The sequence below is a fragment of the Homo sapiens genome, chromosome 7, assembly GCF_000001405.40.
Source record: "Homo sapiens chromosome 7, GRCh38.p14 Primary Assembly".
NCBI lineage: Eukaryota > Metazoa > Chordata > Mammalia > Primates > Hominidae > Homo > Homo sapiens.
The window spans coordinates 138,523,460-138,548,569 of record NC_000007.14 but is presented as its reverse complement, the minus strand read 5'-3'; the positions used below and the strand labels follow the sequence as shown (position 1 = coordinate 138,548,569).

The 25,110-nt window shown below is 37.5% G+C and overlaps 1 protein-coding gene across 3 annotated transcripts in view, besides 1 other annotated feature; it reads right to left on the bottom strand.

The window, feature by feature from the left end:
• Positions 1-25,110, bottom strand: part of TRIM24 (tripartite motif containing 24) — a 129,738-nt gene that overhangs the window by 41,427 nt on the left and 63,201 nt on the right. For all 3 annotated transcript variants that reach the window (NM_015905.3, NM_003852.4, XM_024446981.2), the window contains exons 5-7: positions 23,213-23,329; positions 19,340-19,454; positions 9,767-9,913 (exon numbers count right to left, since the gene is read on the bottom strand). In NM_015905.3, the coding sequence (NP_056989.2) occupies positions 9,767-9,913; positions 19,340-19,454; positions 23,213-23,329 (379 nt within the window). The remainder of the gene's footprint in view (positions 1-9,766; positions 9,914-19,339; positions 19,455-23,212; positions 23,330-25,110) is intronic.
• Positions 6,205-6,324: an enhancer, noted in NCBI's record as "active region_26743". NCBI's record gives its function as "activates an Ori minimal core promoter by ATAC-STARR-seq in GM12878 lymphoblastoid cells {active_cell/tissue: GM12878}" and the evidence as "EXISTENCE:reporter gene assay evidence [ECO:0000049][PMID:35858748]".

Genomic DNA, 25,110 nt, shown 5'->3' with positions numbered 1-25,110 from the left:
ATAAAGTCCCCAGTAGTGTACAGTAATGTCCTACGCCTTCACAGTCATTCATCATTCTACTCACTTGCTCACCCAGAGCAACTTCCAGTCCTGCAAGCTCCATTCATGGTAAATGCCTTATACCTATACAGGTATACTGTTTTTTTTTTTTTGACTCTCACTCTGTCACCCAGGCTGGAGTGGAGTGGTGCGATCTCAGCTCGGCTCACTGCAACCTCCATGGTGTACCATTTTTAAATCCTTTGTATTGTATTTTGACTGTACTTTTTCTACATTTAAATATACAAACATTTACCATTATGTTACAACTGCCTACAGTATTCAGTACAGTGATATGCTGTACAGATCAGAGCAAAAGAGTAAACCATCTAGGTTTGTGTAAGTATATCCTATGATGTCACACAATGCCGAAATTACCATTTCTCAGAATGCATCCCCGTCATCAAGCAACACATGACTGTACTTTTTATCCTCAGGTGTACTCTTCCTATAACCTGCTCCATCTCAATTATTGGTAATACTGTTTTTCCCTACAACTTAAAGTCCTTGGCTCCTTTCTTTTTCTTACACCCTATATTCAACCTGTCGGCAAATCCCGTTGGCTATACTTTTAAAACATACGTATAGGCCAGGCACGGTGGCTCACACCTGTCATCCCAACACTTTGGGACGCCAAGGCGGGCAGATCACGAGGTCAGGAGTTCGAGGCTAGCCTGGCCAACATCATGAAACCCCGTCTCTACTAAAAATACAAAAAAATTAGCCAGGTGTGGTGGCATGCACCTGTAATCACAGATACTTGGGAGGCTGGGGCAGGAGAATCACTGGAACCTGGGAGGCAATCCAAGCCTGGGTGACAGAGGGAAGCTCCGTCTCTAAAAACATAAATAAATAAATAACTTATTTTGGGACTAGGTAGAATATGTAGCAAAGTGTTTACCAGGCAGCAGTCATGCTAACCATAAGAAATATTCTAAGAACTATGTTTTATCTAAAATTTAATAATTGTTTTATCTAAAATTTAATAATTTATTTTTAAAAAGCATTATTTTAATTGACCAATAAAAATTGAATATGTTTCTGTGTACAGCATGTTTTGAAATATACACTGTGAAATGGTTAAATTGAATTAATCTATGTATTACCTCATATACTTATTTTTTTGTGATGAGAACACTTAAAATCAATTCTCTTAGCAATTTTCAAGAATACAAACACAGTGTTATTAATTCTAGGTCTCATGTCGTATAATAGCTCTGGTGAACTTATTCCTCCTATCTAATTGAAATTTTGCAGCCTTTGATCAACATCCCTTCCAATACCCTGAATCCCTTCCAGCCCTTGGTAACCACCATTCTACTCTCTCTGAGTTTAACTTTTTTCCACGTATAAGTGAGATCATGAAGTAAATATAATGTCCTCCAGGTTCATCTATGTTGTTGCAAATGACAGGATTTCCTTCTTTTATAAAGCTTAATAGTATTCCATTGGGTATATGTACCACATTTTCTTTATCCATTTATCTGTTGAATACTTACACTGATTCCATTTTTTGGTTATTGTGAATAATGTTGCAATGAACCCAGGAGTACATACATCTATTCAAGATCTTGATTTCATTCCCTTTGAATATATACCCAAAAGTGAGATTGCTGGATCATGATACTTCTATATGTAATTTTTCAAGGAACTTCCATACTGTTTTCTATGGTTGTACTAATTTACATTCTCACCAACGGGATGCAAGCGTTCCCCTTTCTCCACATCCTCTCCAACACTTGTTACCTTTATCTTTTTGACAATAGCCATTTAATCATTTATTTTTAAATAATTTTGAAATCATAGAAACACTGCCAGAAAAGTAAAAGAACCCTACATTCCTTTCACCCAAATTCCCTGAGTGTTAAGTTATGACCACATTTGCTCCAGTGCCCACCCAACTGCTCCTACACACGTTATTAGTCTTTTTCCAAAACTTTTGAGAGCAAGCTACAGGAATGAGGTCCTGTCTTCCCTAAATACTGCAGTATGGATATCCTAAAACAAAGATCTTCTAACATAACCAAATCCCAGATTCCAAATTCATAAACCAACTGTTACAACACAGCCATCCAGTTTAAACACTTCATCCAAATGCCAACAGTTTCAGCAGTCTTTTCCATGATGCCATCAAGGATATAAGTTGCTTAGCTGCCTCATTTTTCAGTTGCTCAGTCTTTCCCTTTCGTTCATGTCCCTGATGTGTTTTGAAGATTTTATGCCTTACATTCCGCAGGATGACCTTTAACCTGGGTGATATTTCCTCCTGATCAGACTTAGTTACAGTATTCTTGGCAAGAATACCACACAAATGATGACGTGCCAGGAAACGTAGGATGTCAACTTGTCATACCACTGGTGATATTAATCTTGATCTATAATTCTGCTACTCAATTTCTTAACCTTAAAGTTGAAGAGGTATTCTGAGATTCTACTAATACTCTGTTCCCCATCAGTCCTCTACCCAGCATATTTACAGCCACTAATTAGTCCTCCCAAATTATCTCTATGATAGTGGTCAAATGTGCTTCTGTATACCCATTGTTCTTTCTATAACTTTTAGTTTTGTTATCAACTTCTCCCCCAAATAATCTACTGTTTACTGATTTATGTTATGAATTCATGTAATCTTATTTAATTCAGTGTGTTATAATTTATTATTACAGTGACTTATTTTGATCCTCAAATTTGTTCTTGGTTTTCCCAGTGGGAGCCCTTTTACACTGAATCCTGTTCCCTTTGACATGTCCCCATTATTCTCTGAGCATTTTGGTAGTTTTCTGGTATAACAACATGTTCTGGGCACAACTTTTACTTTCCCCCCCTTTCTTTGGTATTTTGAAACCAAGATCTGGAAGGAAGTGACCTCACTGCTATTGGGATGCAGCACACCAACAACGAATACATACACACATACAGATGGACATATACATCTATAATTATTGCTAGATCTGAGTCCAAGAATAAAAATAAAACTCTAAGTTCATACTTGTACTCTTAATTCCAATCCAACACATCTTTGGGCCCTTCCTAGCCTAACTTCTTTCTAAACACCTTCTCTGGAAACTTGGCTGCGATTACCTTCAATATATTTACTTACTTATTCAATCCATTTACTTATTTACTCAATGTAACCAAAATCCAAATGACACTGGCTAATTCTTCTTACCACTTCCGTATTCCTCCCTCACCACTTCACATCCGTGGCTGCCAGCTTCATGCCTGTTGCGGTTCCCCAACCCTCTCCAATGTGCAGTGACCTCAGTCACCATGCTGGTGCCTCCACGCCAGGAAGAGAAGGCAAGACAGTAAGATTCTTGATAGTTTTTATGTGAATATATAGATACACACACACACACACACACACGCAGATTTTATGTATTATGTATATTGATAATTAGATATCTTGGGGATACGGTCCAAGTCTAAACATGAAATTCATTTATGTTTCATATACTCAACACACATAGCCTGAAAGCAATTTTATACAATATTTCTAATAATTTTGTGCATGAATCCAAGGTGTGTTCAATTCTTATGTGTGTAATTTCCCATTTGTGGTGTCATGATGGTGCTCAAAAAGTTTTGAATTTTGGAGAATTTCAGATTTCCGTTGGGATGCTCAACTGGTATAAGAAACTCACACAACTCAATAGCAAAAACCCAAATAACGTGATTAAGAAATGGGCAAAGAGTTTGAATTTATATTTTTCCAAAGAAGACATAAAAATGTCCAATAGGCATATGAAAAGATGTTCCACATCACTGATCAATAGGAAAATTCAAATCAAGACCACAATGAGCTATCATCTCATACCTGTTAGGATCCAGCTAATATCAAAAAGACAAGGAAGACAAGTGTTGGCCAGGGTGCGGATAAAAGGAACCCTTTGTACACTTTAGGTGGGAATGCAGATTGGTGCAACCACTACGGATAACGATATGGAGGTTCTTCAAATAATTAAAAACAGAACTACTGTAGGTCCAGCAATCCCTCTGCTGGGTATATTACAACAGGAAATGAAATAGGACCTTGTAGAGATATCTACACTCCCATGTCATTGCAGCATTATTCACAATGGCCAAGATAGAAAAACAACCTGTATCCAATGATGCATGGACAAATAAATTGCAGTAGATATATACAATAGAATATTATCCAACCTTAAAAAAGGAAAGAAATCCTGCTATTTGTGATAACAAGGATGAACCTTGAGGACACTATGGTAAGTGAAATAAGCCAGATCCAGAAATGAAAATACTGTATAATCTCACTTATACATGGAATATTTTTAGAAAGTTGAAGACAAACTGGAATGGTGGTTACTAGGGGCTAGGTGGGTAGGAAATGTAGAGAAGTCAAAGGGTACAAATTTCCAGGTAGGTAGAATGAATAAGCATTGAGATTTAATGTACAGAGTAAGAACTACAGTTAATAACACTGTAATGCCAGCCAGATGTGGTGGCTCACACCTGTAGTTCAAGACAGCTGGGGTGACAGAACAAGACCTTGTCTCTACAAAAAAAAAAATCTGGACTATGGTGGCATGCACCTGTAGTCCCAGCTACTTGGGGAACTGAGGCAAAAGGCTCGCTTGAGCCTACAAGTTTGAGGCTGCAGGGAGCTATCATCATGTCACTGCACTCTAGCCTAGGCGATAGAGGGAGACCCTGTTTCAAACAACAACAACAAAAAAAACAGAAAACCAAAAGAATAAACCAAAAAAACCTCCATAATAACACTGTTATGTATATCAAAAATGTTATGGATTTTAGGTGTTCTTACCATACACATAGATACAAGGTAAGTAGGATAATGGATATTCATCTGTTTGACTGAAACAATAATTTCAATATGCATATATGTCAGAATATCATGTTGTACACTTTAAATATATAGTAAAATATAAATAAATTTTTTAAAATAGCAAGCCAAGCTTGAGGTTTCAGGGCTGCTAGGCATTTCGTTTCCATTTTTTAAGCACATAAAATCCATCACTTAAAGGATAACCTGAGTAAACATGGCTATATTTATAAAGCAGAACTCTGGAGAACAGAGTTATACAATATAATGATTTTCACATTTTCTGAAGTTAGAAAATCTTCTAAATGTTTAAAAATAATCATGAACCTCAGCTCTGCATGCATTACAGGCAAATTATTATCTACAGCTGCTACTAGAAATGCATCAGTGCTCACTTGGGTTCCACAGGATTTTAAAATTTAGTTAACCAAGAATATGGTAATACTGGTACTATATGATTCACTGCTCCTATTTTCTTCTATGTATCATATAGATGACTATCTCTTTCATTCCTATTTCAACAGTTCATTGTGTAAATTAATTTATCCCATCTATTTTTATTTTCTCCATAATACAATCAAACAAAATCAGAACACAATGAAAAACACATTTTTAAATTGATAAGGAGATTGACGGAATGCTTATCTGATTGCATGAATGTGTCTTACACATACATACTCATGATGGATTAAGTTGAAAAACACAATTCTCTATTCCCTCTATCCCTTTTCTATTTGACTTTCAAAAAAATGTAAGTAACAGAATACAGAAGGTATATAGTGTATAGATGTTTTCCATTAAAACTAATGAAAAAATAAGACTCAGGATGGAGACTATAGCACTGATAATTATGAAAGGAAAACAAATCCTAAGAATTAAATACAATTCATGATTAAGAAAAGTTATAGAACTCTGATGTCACTCAATATTTGAAGTTACTTTATAAAGTTTATCCAGAATCACATTTCCTTATTTTAAAATTGTATAGAAAATTTCTGGACTTCCATTTTTTGGAATAGGTGACAGAAAACTTCATTTAGAGGTAGTAATACAAGCATACCTCATTTTACTGAGCTTTGCTTTACTGCGCTTCGTAAGTACTGTAAATTTTACAAATTTAAGGTTTGTGACAACACCACATTGAGAAAATCAGCACCATTCTTCCAACAGCAAGCACATGCTCACGTGTCTCTGTCACATTTTGGTAATTCTTAACAATAATCTGTTATAGTGATTGTGGTCTTTCATGTTAATATTGTGACTGTTTTGGGACACCACAAACCACACCCATGTAAGAGCAAACATAAATAGTATATTCTGTTTGTGCCACCAATTTAGCCATTCTTTCTTCCTCTCCTCAGGCCTCCGTAGTCTCAGACACAACAATTTAATAACCCTACAATAGTCTCTAAGTGTTCAAGTGAAAGGAAGAGTTGCATGACTCTCACTAATCAAAAGTTAGAAATGAGTAAGCTTACTGAGGAAGGCAGGTCCAAAGCTGAGACAGGCTGAAAGCTAGGCCTCTCACACCAGTTAGCCAAGTTGTGAATGTAAAGGAAAAGTTCTTGAAGGAAATCGAAAGTGTTACTCCAGTGAACACATGAATGAAGAGAATGCCAAGCAGACTTATTGCTGATAGGAAGAAAGTTTTGTGGTCTTGATAGAAGATCAAGCCAGCTATAACATAACCTTAACCCAAGATCTAATTCAGAGAAAGGTCCTAAAACTCTTTTTAATTCAATGAAGGCTGTGAGAGGTGAGGAAGCTGCAAAAGAAAGTTTTAAGGTGGCAGAGGTTGGTCCATGAGATTTATGGAAAGAAACCATCCATTCTGCAGTATACACAATATAAAAGTACAAGGTGAAGCACCAAGTGCTAATGTAGAAGCTGCAGCAAGTTAATCAAAAGATACAGCTAAGATCATTGACGAAGGTGGCTATGCTAAACAACACATTTCAACGTAGATGACACAGACTTCTATTGGAAGATGATGCCATCTAGAAATTTCATAGAGAGAAGACAATGCATGGCTTCAAATCCTCAAAGGACAGACTGACTCTCGTTAGGGACTAATGTAGCTGATGACTTGAAATTGAAGCCAATGCTCATTGACCATTCCAAATATCCTAGGGCCCTCAAGAATTATCCTAAATCTACGCTGCTTTTGTGTTCTATAAGTGAAAACAAAGCCGGGATTACAGCACATCTACTTACAATATATTTTAGTTATTATTTTAAGCCCACTTTTGAGACCCACTGCTCAGAAAATAAAGGATTTTAAAATATTACTGCTCATTGACAAATACAACTGGTCACCCAAGAGCTCTCATGGAAATATATGAGATTAAGGTTGTTTTCATGCCCGCTAACACAACATCCATTCTGCAGCCCATGAATCAAGAAGTAATTCTGATTCTCATGTCTTTTTTTTTCTCCTTTTGGTAGCGACAGGGTCTCACCCTGTGGCGCAGGGTGGTCTCGAACTCCAAGCCTCAAGTGAGCCTCCTGCCTCAGCCTCTCAGTGTTGTATTATAGGTGCATGGCCTCAAGTATTATTTAAGAAATAATTATTAAGAAATACATTATGCGGCTGGGTGCAGTGGTTCATGCTGTAATCCCAGCACTTTGGGAGGCCAAGGCGGGTGGATCACTTGAGGTCAGGAGTTTCGAGACCAGCCTGGAAAACATAGGGAAACCCCATCTCTTATAAAAAATAGAAAAATTAGCTGGACATGGTGGCGCATGCCTACAGTCCCAGCTATTGGGAGGCTGAGGCAGGAGAATTGCTTGAACCTGGGAGCTAGAGGTTGCAGTGAGCTAAGATCACACCACTGCACTCCAGCCTAGGCAACAGAGTGAGACTCCATCTCAAAAACAAAAAAGAAATACGTTACATAAGGCTAGTATAATAGCCACCATACACAGTGATTCCTCTGATGGATCTGGGCAAAGTAAATTAAAAACCTTCTAGAAAGGATTCATTATTCTAGATGCCATTAAGAACCTTAGTGATTCATGGGAGGAGACAAAAATATCAACAATAACAGGAGTTAGGAATAAGTTGATTCCAACCTTTAGGGATGACCTGGAGGAGTTCAAGACTTCAGTGAAGAAGGAATTACAGATGTGGTAGAAACAGCAAGAGAACTGGAATAATAAGTAGAGCCTAAAGATGTGACTGAATTGCTGCAATCCTATGATCAAACTTGAATGGATGAATAGTTGCTTCTTATGGATGAGCACAGAAAAGTGGTTTTTTGAGATAGAAATTACTCCTGGTGAAGATGCTGTGATCATTGTTGAGATGACAACAAAGAATTTAGAATATTCCATAAACTTAGGTGATACCGCAGCTACTGGCTTTGAGAGGACTGACTCCAATTCTGAAAGAAGTTCTATTGTAGGTAAAATACTATCAAATTATCATTGTATGCTACGGAGAAATCTTCCACTAAAAAAGAGTCAATCAATGCAAACTTCATTGTCATCTTATTTTAAGATATTGACACAGCTATCCCAACCTTCAGCAACTACAACCCCAGTGGCCATCAACATCTCCACCAGCAAAAAGATTATGACTCTTGAAGGCTCAGATGATTAACATTTTTGGCAATAAAGTATTCTTTAAGCTGGGTGCAGTGGTTCACGCCTGTAATCCCAGAACTTTGGGAGGCGAAGGCGGGTGGATCACAAGCTCAGGAGATCGGGACCATCCTGGCTAACATGGTGAAACCCCGTCTCTACTAAAAATACAAAAAATTAGCCAGGCCTGGTGGCGGACGCCTGTAGTTCCAGCTACTCGGGAGGCTGAGGCAGAAGAATGGTGTGAACCGGCGAGGTGGAGCTTGCAGTGAGTGGAGATCACGCCACTGCACTCCAGCCTGGGCGACAGAGTGAGACTCTGTCTCAAAAAAAAAAAAAAAAAGATTACTTAATTGAGGTATATACACTGTTTTTTTAAAAAACATAATACTACTGCACAGTTACACTACAGTATTTATAATCAAAACTTTTATATGCACTGGAAAACTTAAAAAAACTGTATGGCTTGGCTTATTATGATATTTGCTTTACTGCGATAGTCTGGAACTGAACCTATGGTTTATAGTATACTTCGGAGTATAAATCTCTGTTGAATCTTTAATAAGATTAATGTAAAGCAGGAATTTTTAAGAATGTAGCTAAATGTCTTCTATATCTTTGTTACTCAAAGCACAGCCCACAGACCAAGCAGCATCAGAGTCACCTGAAGGCTTGTTAGAAATTCACAAGCCCCACCCCAGATCTCCTGACCAGAATCCTCAAGTGATGTGGTAGTCATATGTGAAGTAGTAAGGTTCTAGACCAATGTCAAATAGTTCACCAAATCACAGAGCTATTTTTCTGTGGCAAAAATATCCAGCACTACAGATTGCCGTGCAGCACCAAGAAGAAGAACACAGGCTCAGGTCATGTCTGAGATCATATTATAAACCCTGGCTATACCTCATATTGTGTGATGTTAGACATGTTACATAATCACATGCCTTAGTTTCATCATGTGTACAAGGGGGGTGAATAGGTATATCTCATAAGAATGAGGTAAAAGTTTAAATATTACATGGAAATTCTTAGAATTAGTACCTGGCACACTATAGATAATCAGAAAATGTTCACTATCATCCTTATTTTTGATATTAACTTCAATTGCTATGAAGACAGTGAATACTTGGAAAGAACAAAAAAAGGAATTAATGATAAATTAAAACTGAAATTACACCCAAATTATGCCAGGTAAAAATATTAAAACCAAAATATTTTGATAGATATTAGAAATAGGTAAAAAGCACTGATGCACAAGCAGAATAAATTTTAAGCATTACAATGGCTCCATTGTTTTACTGTGCATTTTTACAGTATATTAAATAGCATACTTTATCTTACCAGTCGTTTGCTATAAAGTAATGCTGTACTGCTGCCACTGGAAACTGCCCATTTAGAAAAATGCATGACATGCTCCAATTGTTTAGAGAGTCCAGCCACTTCCTGTTGTTGTTGCATAAGTTTCATGCGATGGTCCTTTGCAAGGCTCTGAAAACAAGAAAATAGTTTCAAAATTAGTATCAGCATGTAACATAGACTTTGATGGTCATTTCCAGGTAAACAAATTAGAATAACTACAATCTCTAATTACTCAATTTACTGAAACTAAAAATACTCTGTTTTCCCTATTAGTATAAAGGATCACTTTCACTATGGCAAAAAACTGCATCCCAATGTGGCCCCTCACTCCTCAAGGCCCTGGATCAGGTTTTACATATTCTGGGATTTAACTCTGTTCATGCATGTTACAATACACAAAAAAGGAAAGATTAGCTATAGTACAGTAAATGTCTATGAAATTCAACATTCACAAATAAAACAGATGTACTGTCCAGCAAACCTATAAAGTAACTCTATCACATAATTTACTCAATCATATGATTTCACCTTTTAGGGATTCTATTTAACAGTTGGAATTGCAAGTAGTTTGTGCAAAACAGAGTCATGCTGTGTTGTAGATGACACTTACCCTTTGTATGTGGTAATTTTCTTAAAAGGCATCATATTATTTGTCTATTGAGAATTAACATCGGAGCCAACAGATGCACTGAATGAGTGGGCCAATGCACTCTAACAAAAGCTACATAAAAGAATATAGATTTCTCTAAAGGAGGTATGTATGTGCTTTCCTTAGAGAAGATGGATAATCAAAAGTAGAGCACACTGAACTTGGGTTATTTTAAAGGTTCCTAACCAAAAACCTCATCCTAGACCTAGCAAGGAAAAAGGAGGAAAACAGGACTTTCTGCTGTCTCAGACAAATTAGAAATGTTTACAAGTAAAATTGCTATACTACAACATGGACTTACATTCTCAATAAAAAGCGAACCCAGATCCTAGCCCTAGTCAGTTCCAGATTTGGAAAATACACTTGAGCTACATTGAATTAAGGAGGAAATGGTAGTTGTCTGTTTGATGGACTACTAACAACATCCAACGGCTCTGCCATATCTAATTTAAGTTCAGAGAGACAGTAATTTGCCTAGTAGACTATTTTTGACCTCTGTAAAAATTTATTAAGTGTTTCTTTGGAAACATTCTAGTAGGAATAGAAATTGTTTACTTTGGAGAAGGTTGAGAATTAAGAATCAGAAGCCCTGGATTTTTGGTCCTCTATCCTAATATCTATTTCAGCCAATTTCTTATGAGTCTTAACAGATAAAAGGGGTTATTTTTATTTGCCTTTAAAAAAGGACTCCAACCAGCCTGGGCAACATAGTGAGACCACGTCTTTACAAAAAAAAAAAAAAAAAAAAAAAAAAAAACAAACAGGGGTGGCGGAGGAGTGGTTCCAAGATGGCCGAATAAGAACAGCTCCAGTCTACAGCTCCCAGCGTGAGTGACGCAGAAGATGGGTGATTTCTGCATTTCCAACTGAGGTACCGGGTTCATGTCACTGGGGCTTGTCGGACAGTGGGTGCAGGACCGTGGGTACAGTGCACCGAGTGTGAGCCGAAGCAGGGCAAGGTATCGCCTCACCCGGGAAGCACAAGGCGTCAGGGAATTCCCTTTCCTAACCAAGGGAAGCTGTGACAGACGGCACCTGGAAAATCGAGTCACTCCCACCCTAATACTGAGCTTTTCCAACGGACTTAGCAAACAGCACACCAGGAGATTATAACCCACGTCTGTCTCGGAGTGTCCCATACCCACGGAGCCTCGCTCATTGCTAGCACAGCAGTCTGAGATCGAACTGCAAGGCGGCAGCGAGGCTGGGGAAGGGGCGCCCACCATTGCTGAGGCTTGAGTAGGTAAACAAAGCGGCCAGGAAGCTCGAACTGGGTGGAGCCCGCTGCAGCTCAAGGAGGCCTGCGTGCCTCTGCAGACGCCACCTCTGGGGGCAGGGCATAGCCAAACAAAAGGCAGCAGAAACCTCTGCAGACTTAAATGTCCCTGTCTGACAGCTTTGAAGAGAGTAGTGGTTCTCCTAGCACGGAGTTTGAGATCTCAGAACGGACAGACTACCTCCTCAAGTGGGTCCCTAACCCCCAAGTAGCCTAATTGGGAGGCACCCCCAGTAGGGGCAGACTGACACCTCACACAGCCGGGTACCCCTCTGGGACAAAGCTTCCAGAGGAACGATCAGGCAGCAACATTTGCTGTTCAGCAATATTCGCTGCTCTGCAGCCTCCAATGCTGATACCCAGGCAAACAGGGTCTGGAGTGGACCTCCACCAAACTCCAACAGACCTGCAGCTGAGGGTCCTGACTGGTAGAAAGAAAACTAACAAACAGAAAGGACATCCACACCAAAACCCCATCTGTACATCACCATCATCAAAGACCAAAGGTAGATAAAACCACAAAGATGGGGAAAAAACAGAGCAGAAAAGCTGAAAATTCTAAAAATCAGAGCGCCTCTCCCCCTCCAAAGGAACGCAGCTCCTAGACAGCAACGGAACAAAGCTGGACAGAGAATGACCTTGATGAGTTGAGAGAAGAAGGCTTTAGACGATGAAACTCCTCCGAGCTAAAGGAGGAAGTTTGAACCCATTGCAAAGAAGCTAAAAACCTTGAAAAAAGATTAGATGAATGGCTAACTAGAATAACCAGTGTAGAGAAGTCCTAAAATGACCCGATGGAGCTGAAAACCATGGCACAAGAAGTACGTGACGAATGCACAAGCTTCAGTACCTGATTCAATCAACTGGAAGAAAGGGTATCAGTGATTGAAGATCAAATGAATGAAACGAAGCAAGAAGAGAAGTTTAGAGAAAAAAGAGTAAAAAGAAACGAACAAAGCCACCAAGAAATATGGGACTATGTGAAAAGACCAAATCTATGTCTGATTGGTGTACCTGAAAGTGACGGGGAGAATGGAACCAAGGTGGAAAATGCTCTGCAGGTTATTATCCAGGAGAACTTCGCCAACCTAGCAAGGCAGGCCAACATTCAAATTCAGGAAATACGGAGAATGCCACAAAGATACTCCTTGAGAAGAGCAACTCCAAGACACATAATTATCAGATTCACCAAAGTTGAAATGAAGGAAAAAATGTTAAGGGCAGCCAGAGAGAAAGATCGGTTTACCCACAAAGGGAAGCCCATCAGACTAACAGTGGATCTCTCGGCAGAAACTCTACAAGACAGAAGAGAGTAGGGGCCAATATTCAACAGCCTTAAAGAAAAGAATTTTCAACCCAGAATTTCATATCTAGCCAAACTAAGCTTCATAAGTGAAGGAAAAATAAAATCCGTTATAGACAAGCAAAGGCTGAGAGATTTTGTCACCACCAGGCCTGCCATACCAGAGCTCCTGAAGGAAGCACTAAACATGGAAAGGAACAACTGAGACCAGCCACTGCAAAAACATGCCAAATCATAAAGACCACTGATGCTAGGAAGAAACTGCATCAACTAAAGGGCAAAATAACCAGCTAACATCACAATGACAGGATCAAATTCACACATAACAATATTAACCTTAAATGTAAATGGGCTAAATGCTCCAATTAAAACACACAGACTGACAAATTGGATCAAGAGTCAAGACCCATCAGTGTCCTGTATTCAGGAGACCCATCTCATATGCAGAGACACACATAAGCTCAAAATAAAGGGATGGAGGAAGATCTACCAAGCAAATGGAAAACAAAAAAAGGCAGGGGTGGCAATCCTAGTCTCTGATAAAACAGACTTTAAACCAACAAACATCAAAAGAGACAAAGAAGGCCATTACATAATGGTAAAGGGATCAATTCAACAAGAAGAGCTAACTAACCTAAACATATATGCACCCAATACAGGAGCACCCAGATTCATAAAGCAAGTCCTTAGAGACCTACAAAGAGACTTTAGACTCCCAGACAATAATAATGGGAGACTTTAACACCCCACTGTCAACATCAGACAGATCAACAAGACAGAAAGTTAACAAGGATATCCAGGAATTGAACTCAGCTCTTCACCAAGCAGACCTAATAGATATCTACAGAACTCTCCACCCCAAATCAACAGAATATACATTCTTCTCAGCACCACATCACACTTATTCCAAAATTGACCACACAGTTGGAAGTAATGCACTCCTCAGCAAATGTAAAAGAACAGAAATTATAACAAACTGTCTGTCAGACTACAGTGCAATCAAACTAGAACTCAGGATTAAGAAACTCACTCAAAACCGCTCAACTACATGGAAACTGAACAACCTGCTCCTGAATGACTACTGGGTACATAACAAAATGAAGGCAGAAATAAAGATGTTCTTTGCAACCAATAAGAACAAAGACACAACGTACCTGGATCTCTGGGACACATTTAAAGCAATGTGTAGAGGGAAATTTATAGCACTAAATGCCCACAAGAGAAAGCAGGAAAGATCTAAAATTGACACCCTAACATCACAATTAAAAGAACTAGAGAAGCAAGAGCAAACAAATTCAAAAGCTAGCAGAAGGCAAGAAATAACTAAGATCAGAGCAGAACTGAAGGAGATAGAGACACAAAAAACCCTTCAAAAAAATTGATGAATCCAGGAGCTGGTTTTTTTGAAAAGATCAACAAAATAGACCGCTAGCAAGACTAATAAAGAAGAAAACAGAGAACAATCAAACAGACGCAATAAAAAATGTTAAAGGGGATATCACCACCGATCCCACAGAAATACAAACTACCATCAGAGAATACTATAAACACCTCTATGCAAATAAACTAGAAAATTTAGAAGAAATGGATAAATTCCTCGACATATACACCCACCCAAGACTAAACCAGGAAGAAGTTGAATCCCTGAATAGACCAATAACAGGCTCTGAAATTGAGGCAATAATTAATAGCCTACCAACCAAAAAAAGTCTAGGACCAGATGGATTCTCAGCCAAATTCTACCAGAGGTACAAGGAGGAGCTGGTACCATTCCTTCTGAAACTATTCCAACGAATAGAAAAACAGGGAATCCTCCCTAACTCATTTTATGAGGCCAGCATCATCCTGATACCAAAGCCTGGCAGAGACACAACAAAAAAAGAGAATTTTAGACCAATATCCCTGATGAACATTGATGTAAGAATCCTCAATAAAATACTGGCAAATCGAATCCAGCAGCACATCAAAAAGCTTATTCACCATGATCAAGTGGGCTTCATCCCTGGGATGCAAGGCTGGTTCAACACATGCAAATCAATAAATGTAATCCAGCATATAAACAGAACCAAAGACAAAAACTACATGATTATCTCAATAGATGCAGGAAAGGCCTTTGACAAAATTCAACAGCCCTTCATGCTAAAAACTCAATAAATTAGGTATTGATGGGACGTATCTCAAAATAATAAGAGCTATTTATGACAAACCCACAGTCAATATCATACTGAATGGGCAAAAACTGGAAGCATTCCCTTTGAAAACTGGCACAAGACAGGGATGCCCTCTCTCACCACTCCTACTATTCAACATAGTGCTGGAAGTTCTGGCCAGGGCAATCAGGCAAGAGAAAGAAATAAAGTGTATTCAATTAGGAAAAGAGGAAGTCAAATTGTCCCTGTTTGCAGATGACATGATTGTATATTTAGAAAACCCCATTGTCTCAGTCCAAAATCTCCTTAAGCTGATAAGCAACTTCAGCAAAGTCTCAGGATACAAAATCAATGTGCAAAAATCACAAGCATTCTTATACACCAATAACAGACAAACAGAGAGCCAAATCATGAGTGAACTCCCATTCACAATTGCTTCGAAGAGAATAAAATACCTAGGAATCCCACTTACAAGGGATGTGAAGGACCCCTTCATGGAGAACTACAAACCACTGCTCAACAAAATAAAAGAGGACACAAACAAATGGAAGAACATTCCATGCTCATGGATAGGAAGAATCAATATTGTGAAAATGGCCATACTGCCCAAGGTAATTTATAGATTCAATGCCATCCCCGTTGAGCTACCAATGACTTTCTTCACAGAATTGGAGAAAACTATTTTCAAGTTCATATGGAACCAAAAAAGAGCCCGCATTGCCAAGACAATCCTAAGTCAAAAGAACAAAGCTGGAGACATCACACTACCTGACTTCAAACTTTACTACAAGGCTACAGTAACCAAAACAGCATGGTACTGGTACCAAAACAGAGATATAGACCTTTGGAACAGAACAGAGCCCTCAGAAATAGCACACATCTACAACCATCTGATCTTTGACAAACCTGACAAAAACAAGCAATGGGGAAAGGATTCCCTATTCAATAAATGGTGCTGGGAAAACTGGCTAGCCATATGTAGAAAGCTGAAACTGGATCCCTTCCTTACACCTGATACAAAAATTAATTCAAGATGGATTAAAGACTTAAATGTTAGACCTAAAACCATAAAAACCCTAGAAGAAAACCTAGGCAATACCATTCAGGAAATAGGCATGGGCAAGGACTTCATGTCTAAAACACCAAAAGCAATGGCAACAAAAGCCAAAATTGACAAATGGGATCTAATTAAACTAAAGAGCTTCTACACAGCAAAAGAAACTACCATCAGAGTGAACAGGCAACCTACAGAATGGGAAAAAAGTTTTGCAATCTACTCATCTGACAAAGGGCTAATATCCAGAATCTACAATGAACTCAAACAAATTTACAAGAAAAAAACAAACAACCCCATCAAAAAGTGGGCAAAGGATATGAACAGACACTTCTCTAAAGACATTTATGCAGCCAACAGACACATGAAAAATTGCTCATCATCACTGGCCATCAGAGAAATGCAAATCAAAACCACAATGAGATACCAGCTCACACCAGTTAGAATGGCCATCATTAAAAAGTCAGGAAACAACAGGTGCTGGAGAAGATGTGGAGAAATAGGAACACTTTTACACTGTTGGTGAGACTGTAAACTAGTTCAACCACTGTGGAAGACAGCGTGGCGATTCCTCAAGGATCTAGAACTAGAAATACCATTTGACCCAGCCATTCCATTACTGGGTATATACCCAAAGGATTATAAATCATGCTGCTATAAAGACACATGCACACGTATGTTTATTACGGCACTATTCACAATAGCACAAACTTGGAACCAACCCAAATGTCCAACAATGATAGACTGGATTAAGAAAATGTGGCACATATACACCATGGAATACTATGCAGCCATAAAAAATGATGAGTTCATGTCCTTTGTAGAGACATGGATGAAACTGGAAACCATCATTCTCAGCAAACTATCGCAGGGACAAAAAACCAAACACCGCATGTTCTCATTCATAGGTGGGAATTGAACAATGAGAACACTTGGACACAGGAAGGGGAGCATCACACACCGGGGCCTGTTGTGGGGTTGGGGGAGGGGGGAGGGATAGCATTGGGAGATATACCTAATGTAAATAACGAGTTAATGGGTGCAGCACACGAACATGGCACATGTATACATATGTAACACATGTAAACATATGTAACATATGTAACATGTAACGTGTAACATGTATACGTATGTAACATACACGTATACATGTATACATGTATACATATACATATGTGCACGTTGTGCACATGTACCCTAGAACTTAAAGTATAATAATAATAATAATAAATTAGCCAGGAGTGGCAGCACACGCCCTGTAGTCCCAGCTTCTCAGTCAGGAGGATCGCTTGTAGTCCCAGTTTCCCAGGAGTTTGAGGCTGCAGTGAGCCAAGGCTATACCACTACACTCGAGCCTGGGTGACAGAGTGAGACCTTGTCTCTAAAAAGTAAAATAAGAAAATTCACTAGAGTGAGACTTCATCTCTACAAAAATAAAAAATTAGTCAGGTGTGGTTGCACAGCTACTCAGGAGACTGGGGTGGGAAGATTGCTTGAGCCTGGGAGGTCAAGGCTGCAGTGAAAACACCACTGCATTCAAGCTTGGACAACAAAGTAAAACACTGTCTCCAAAAAAAACAAAGGGGGGGCAAGGTGGGTAGCTCATACCTGTAATCTCAGTACTTTGGGAGGCTGAGGCAGACAGACTGCCTGAGCCCAGTAGTTCGAGACCAGCCTGAGCCAACGTGTCAAAACCCCCCCTCTTAAAAAAAAAAAAATATTAGCCAGGCATGGTGGCATACACTTGTAGTCCTAATTACTCGAGAGGCTGCAATGAGAAGATCACCTGAGACCAGGAGGTGGAGGCTGTAGTGAGCCGTGATTCACGCTATTGCACTTCTGTCTGGGCAACAGAGTGAGACCCTGTCTCAAAAAAAATTTTTTTTTAATTTTAAGAATGAACCTGGTCATCAGTAGATATACTGACCAGGTTCATTCCTACAGATTTGCAAGTCTGGTCATCTCCTTTGTAAAGCTCTTCAAGTGATTCTGATGTACAGTCAAGTTTGAAAACACAGACATAGTAATGTATGCACTACTAATATCTGGGAAAGCAAATCAAAGTGATATTTGATTTTAAGCAGTTTTGGAAACTTAAAATTGTACTTAAATTTTTTTTTTTTTTTAAAGTCACAGACCTTGAACAAATAGTTACTATAAATGGGGTCTGATTGTTCCTGCCCAGAATACTTCCTCACTAAATAACTACGTTTCCAAAAGAACAGAGAATTATTTTAGTCTTTGTTTCCTGTACAGCTGATAATACACAGGAATGACCATGCTTTCCCAGAAGGGATAGAACTTTCTGACAGAAACCTTTTAATTTGGTAAATTATGATATAAAAAGGATGACCTAAATTATTTCTAGAAGTCTTATTTTTCCTCAAATCTTCAAACATTAGGATTCTTTTTTTTCTCATTTGCTTCTTTACTGTATCAATATGCTTTCTATGTCAACGTACTAAAAGAATACCTAAAAATCATGCAATTAATATTATACATTAATGTACCATGTAGCTGTTATAACCTTATATGATTTGAAGTCAAACACCAAGTTTGGATCTTGACCTTCATGAGTTTTAAAAAGCTGAGGAAGATGGTAATGTTTTTCTTACCTGCAGTGAGAAACAACTAAGTGCCTTGGGCATATCTCCCTAAGTGCTGCTCTCGCAATTACAATTACAAAATGTTGAGGGCAGGGCTAGCCATATTCTTTTACCTAACTTCTCACAGGGTTAAATATATATATTTGAGAACTAAATCGAACAGTGTATCTTTCTAGAAAATTCTGCTCCACTAAACCACCTTGGTGATGCAAAATTTTCATTTCAGTGCATCTCGAAAATAACTCATCTGTTTAACATTCAGAGATCCTCCTACAAGCAAGGCATTATAATTTGTGCTATAAAGAAAACAATCAGTCATCAGACATTCATAGCGTATTATAAAGCTTTAAATTGTCAGCTACAATACAAAACCCAGCAAAGGAAAACTTGGGAGTGGGAAAAAAAAATATTAAATCACAATGAAACAACTATATAAAAAGCACTATGATTTCTACTTCACAGTACTTTAGGAAATACTATGTTGAATCAATATACTATCCCATGGGCAGTCACTTACCTCTAACTGATGCAGTAGAGCTTTTCCTTTTTTATTTATTTCTACCATCAGTGTAAATATAGCAACTTTAATATCCTGTTCCACCTGCTTTTGATTTTGATTTACTTCAATAATTCTGAAAATTAAAACGGGGAAAAACATAAGGCAGTTTTTTTGTATAATATTTAAAATTGACGTTTTAATGTCTAAATTAGACCAAAATGTTTTCAGCCCTTAGAAGCTCTATTTCTGAGTCCTTCACTTTAAATTGACTGTCTTGAAGATGAGACAGCAGAAATATAATTCTTCTGAAAGATATCACCACTCAATCTTAAAATTAAGTCTTGAATCTTAAAAATATATATAAAATTAGAAGAGAATGAGTACATTTTAAGAAAATATGGTTTGGAAAAATTATGAGAACACCCAGGAAAATCAATGCTCTACCTAAAAGGATGGGGGGGGGGGTGGGGGTGGACCAAAAAGGATTTATAAACCATGATGATTCTGAACATGTTCTACTATATTAATTGCAACCGAAAGCTAGAAAAGTGTATATGTGACACTCTTTTCTTAGTATTCTTAACTGCTACAGTATTCATACACCTAAATAGAAAAAGACAAAAATAGTAGTTTGCTACTTAACCCATTCTTTGCAAAATTAGCAGCCAAATAACTATGTTTTATCAACCACATACTTCTCTTGAGGTGGGAAATTAAAGAAAAAAAAAGAAAAATAAAATTAAAAAGAGAAAAGCAAGTTTGAAAAACAAGCTTTCATGTATTAGGCTGACTTATCCCAGAGGCAGAAACAGGCACAGCCCAGACCCAGGAAAGTCTTGATAATATTATCTAAGAAGCTAGGGCTCAAAGGAATGTGCTCTGAAGACTCTCCCAGCACTCCCCCAACATGGGGAGAAGAAAAAAACAAATTTTCTTTATTTTTCTTTCTCCTATGGTATGAGTAAACTTATGAGTTTATAGATTCTTGTTTTCTATAACTAGTAACTTCAAGCATTGTTTTATCTAAGCAGCTCAGTGAAAGTCATGAGACATGCCTGGGCGGGCCTGGATTGTAGCCATCTAGACACCATAGTGAAGGTTATGAGATAAGCCAGCACAAGGCACTAGAGCAAGCCTAGATAACAGCCATCTAGGCCGCATAGCAAGAGTCATTGTAAGCCTGAGTTATGAACCTGTCAAAGTATGATTAACTGCCTTTGTTCTGCTTCTGTACCTGAGCTTTCACACCACTATGCTTCACGCCACTGTAAGCTTGTTTCAAACTAGCCCATCCCCTTTTAGAAGTGTGTATAAAAGCCAAGTCCAGTCTTTGTTCTAGGCCCAGCCTTTGTTCTAGGCCCAGTCTTTGTTCTAGGCCTGGTCTTTGGATATTAATCCGCTGGGTATGAGTGCACTCAATAAAATCCTCCTGTTTCACCTACTGGTCTCTCCAGTCTCCTGATTCCAGCAACACTCTTACAGAAAGAAAAACATACGGTACCACACCAGAATATCTTATAGAAAATAACAGAGCATCCACCAAACTTTGTGAGATTAAATTAAAAGCTTCATTTCTTCTGTAAGCTTCTCCCATAGTTACCCTCCAAAACTCAAGACCAAACTGGCAGAGACTTTATTTCCTGCTGGAAATTCTTCCAGATAATTGTTTGACATCAACATTACTACAGGATCAAGGGAACCAGATAAGCCTGAGAAGCAACCAATCTCAAAAAAGTCATTTAAATATTCATGATGGTAGAATAGGATGAGTAAGGGAAAAACAGTGCCATGGGGTCAAATGCATAAAAATGACTACCAGTTACTCTAATAAATGTACCCTTTTATAATCACATAGGCTATAAAGATATGTAAGCAATTTGCACTTAACAAAGATTGTTTAATTTTTTGCCTCAATTCAGAAATCAAAATTGTTACACACAATGTTATTATTTTGTAGAAGAAAAAAAGCACAAATCATTTATAAAAATAAAAGAAGAAATTTGAAAAACACTATGTTAAGACTTACTATAAAAAACTACAATGATCATGATCATGAAAGTGAAGTACTAGCAATGAGAAAAACACAATGGAACAGAATAATCCCACACATATATATGGTCTATAAAGGTGCTGAAAAACAATTCAACAGAAAGTTTTTTCAACAAATGATAGTGGAAAAAATTGACAGCGGTACATAAAAAAAAATGTAAACTTTGACCATAAATCAAACCATATACTCAGTGAAACAGTAAGAAAAAAGTCAAAGGGATAAATTTCATTAAGGGCAGATGTTTAATTTAAAATTAATTATTTTATGATTGCTACCTTTTGCCACTAGATGGTAGAAATGCCTATAATTATCTCTCTTCATTCATTCAATAAATATTCATTACAAATTTTCAATTACTCAGAATAAAAAAAGTTTAAACCCACCAATTATTCTACTTGGCAAAATATACTATTCTGATTAGAATATGGTAAATAAAGAAAATAGTATTTCATTAACTATAGTTGTGTCAAAGAGAAAAGTAAAAACAGGGCCAGGTATGGTGGCTCACGCCTGTAATCCCAGTGCTTTGGGAGGCTGAGGTGGCAGATCACCTGAGGTCACTAGTTCAAGACCAGGCTGGCCAACATGGTGAAAGCCCATCTCTACTAAAGATACAAAAACTAGCTGGGCACAGTGGTGGGCACCTGTAATCCCAGCTACCCAGGAGGCAGAGGTTGCAGTGAGCTGAGATCACACCACTGCACTCCAGCTTAAGTGACAGAGTGAGACTCCGTCTCAAAAAAAAACAAAAAACAAAAAACAAAAACAGAGGTAAAAACAAATGAGAGCTGATAACAAGAAAAACTAAAAGATACACAACATAATGCATAATAATAAACAGATATAAGAATGATGCTGGGGCATCAAGAAATGGTAAAACTATGTGTAAAAATCTCTTTTAAGGGAATCAGGTAATACAGGGATTTAATTACCTTAAAAAAATTCCCAAATGCTCCACCCCCAGCTATGTTCCAAAATGATAATAATAGATTGTGATGACTGCCTTAAAGTCTGACACAATTTATACATAGAAAAACATTTAAATTCTCTGTGAGGTCTCTTTTACGCTGGCTCATTCTAATAAACATTTCTTGACTTATTTAGGCAGTGACATTTCTTTTGTGTGTAAAACAACAGAAGAGGTCATGGGATTTCATAGGTGTGTAAATTAAATGTCAGTATGTGCCCTAAATGGGATTTTAAAAAGGGGTTAGACAACACCTCCAGCTGCCCCCGCTCCATGGAGGTTAGTGGTTCTCCCTAATCACTGATGTCTAAGACTTTGGACAGTTGATGATTTTCTTACCAGGGCAAAAGGCATAACAAGTAATTGTGTAAGTAAGCATTTTATCAGACAAGAAGTAAAAAGTGTGCGGAACAGTTTAACAATCCCTGTATCCTAGTGTCTTAAAATTTCCACCTGTTTGCAGTTTTAAAAAAATTGCAGCATAAGGCAGGCATCTCAAATTTCAGCAAACCTTAAAATAACAATTAAGGGTTTATTCAAGTGTTAAAATATTTTACAATACTGGCAAAAAAATGGTTGATTTGGCATTTAAATTTTGGTATTTCTTTAAAATTGGAAAATAAGTGATAATAAGTTATCAATACCTATTAGATAAATGAGCTATTAAAATACTAAGTGTAGTTTATTATTAGTTTTGAAATTTTACAGCAGAAAAGAATGCTTTCCAACTAAGTTTCTGGGAAAGTCTTATCAGTCATGTGTTATTGCAGTCATCTAACAACGTATTACTTAACTGTGACTTAAGGAAAATGTTCTAAAAGTGAATATACTTAACAAATTATATAAAAATGATTACATAATACCATAAAATTACCTGTTTTGGATCTGATTTCCTGTGAATTTTATGTATTTTGTTTTTTCCATCAGTTTGGTGATTAGTGTATCTATGATCACTTTCTGATTCTGAAAAGCTTCTTCTATAAATTGGTATCTGAAGAAATAAGCAAATTATTTCATATAAAAATATACAATGAGGAAAAAGTCCAAGAATAAAAAAAGACATAAAAACATAAAATAGGATTATAAAGAATTTATATAATAATCTTTTAAAACATCAAACGTATCCCTAATAAGGCAAGTTTCCCTCACCTCTCAAATTATCCCTCAAGAAAGATTATGGACACATAAATATTTTGAAAGTTTGAGAACCACATGCATCCATCATTCAGTTTTTATAAGCTTACAGAGTTCACTTTCACTTGGTGGACTTGGCAAAAAATAGTCAATTATACATAATCAGATTTATTAACTATTTTGTAATTTCTACATTATGCAAGCCTGCTGAAAATAAACATTTTAAAAGACCACTTTTAAATAATAGGTAGTTATGTTCTAGGGGCCACAAGATAAATCAGGATAAATACAGACAGAGAAGGGCAAAATTCTTGATGTTATGCCTTGTAATAAAACTTTTAAGCAACAGTATAATGAGATACAGCACTTTAAAAAGTTTCCAATTTGAAACTGAGGAAAGATGATTTACTTTGCCAGACTATGTTTGATAACTCAAGAGAAGTTCTAGAGAAGATAGAAAGGCAACGATATAGAAGATACATAACAAGAATTTTATTTAAGTTTTTCTATAAAATGTACAAAATACAGTATTTCTAAATTAACAATTTTATATAATGTGATTTTAAATGTTTACATGTAACTAAATAGGGTTGCCAGTTAGAAAAAGGGGATACCCAGTTAATAATTACATTGGATTTCCTTAGTATATAATCATATCTGTGAATTATAACATTTCAAATACTTTTATAGGCAACTCAAGTTTTTTTTACCTTAGTAAACTTTTTCTTTACTACCCTTATTTAATATAAGGTTACATGAAATGGTCAAAATGGTCACCCTTATGTTGTTCCTAATCTCAATGCAAAGACTTTCAATATTCCAATATTAAGTACGTTTTCTGCTTTCCATAAATAATCTTTATCAGGTTTAGGAAGTTCTTTTTTATTTCTAGTTTGCTAAGATGTTGTATCATGAATGTATATTTAATTTTTATGGAATGTTTCTACTGCTTCTATTGAGATAGGCATATACTTTTTCCTTTATTCTTTTAATATGACATGCAAGATTTTAGCATCAATGATTTTGGCATGTTAAATGAATTCTGTATCCCTAAGATGAGGCCAAATTGGTTGTGATTACACTGTCCCAAAATGACAATACTACGAGATTTAAGGCAAGTTTTCCCCTCCTCTCAAATCATCTGTTTCCTACTTATTTTCCGTTTCTTGGAATTTTTACATTCATTTCATGAGTGAGACTGGCCTGTAATTTTCCATTTCTATTCCTTGTCAGTTTTGGTGTAAAGGTTATGCTGGCTTCATATAACAAGTTGGAAAGAATTCATTTTTTTGCCATTCTCCAGACAAGTTTGTATAAGAAAGGGGCTTTTTTTTTTTTTTTTTTTTTGAGACGGAGTCTCGCTCTGTCGCCCAGGCTGGAGTGCAGTGGCCCCATCTCGGCTCACTGGAAGCTCTGCCTCCTGGGTTCACGCCATTCTCCTGCCTCAGCCTCCCGAGTAGCTGGGACTATACCCACCACCACGCCTGGCTAATTTTTTGTATGTTTAGTAGAGACGGGGTTTCACCATGTTAGCCAGGATGGTCTCAATCTCCTGACCTTGTGATCCGCCCGCCTCGGCCTCCCCAGGTGCTGGGATTACAGGCGTGAGCCACCTCGCCCGGCCAAAAGGGGCTATTT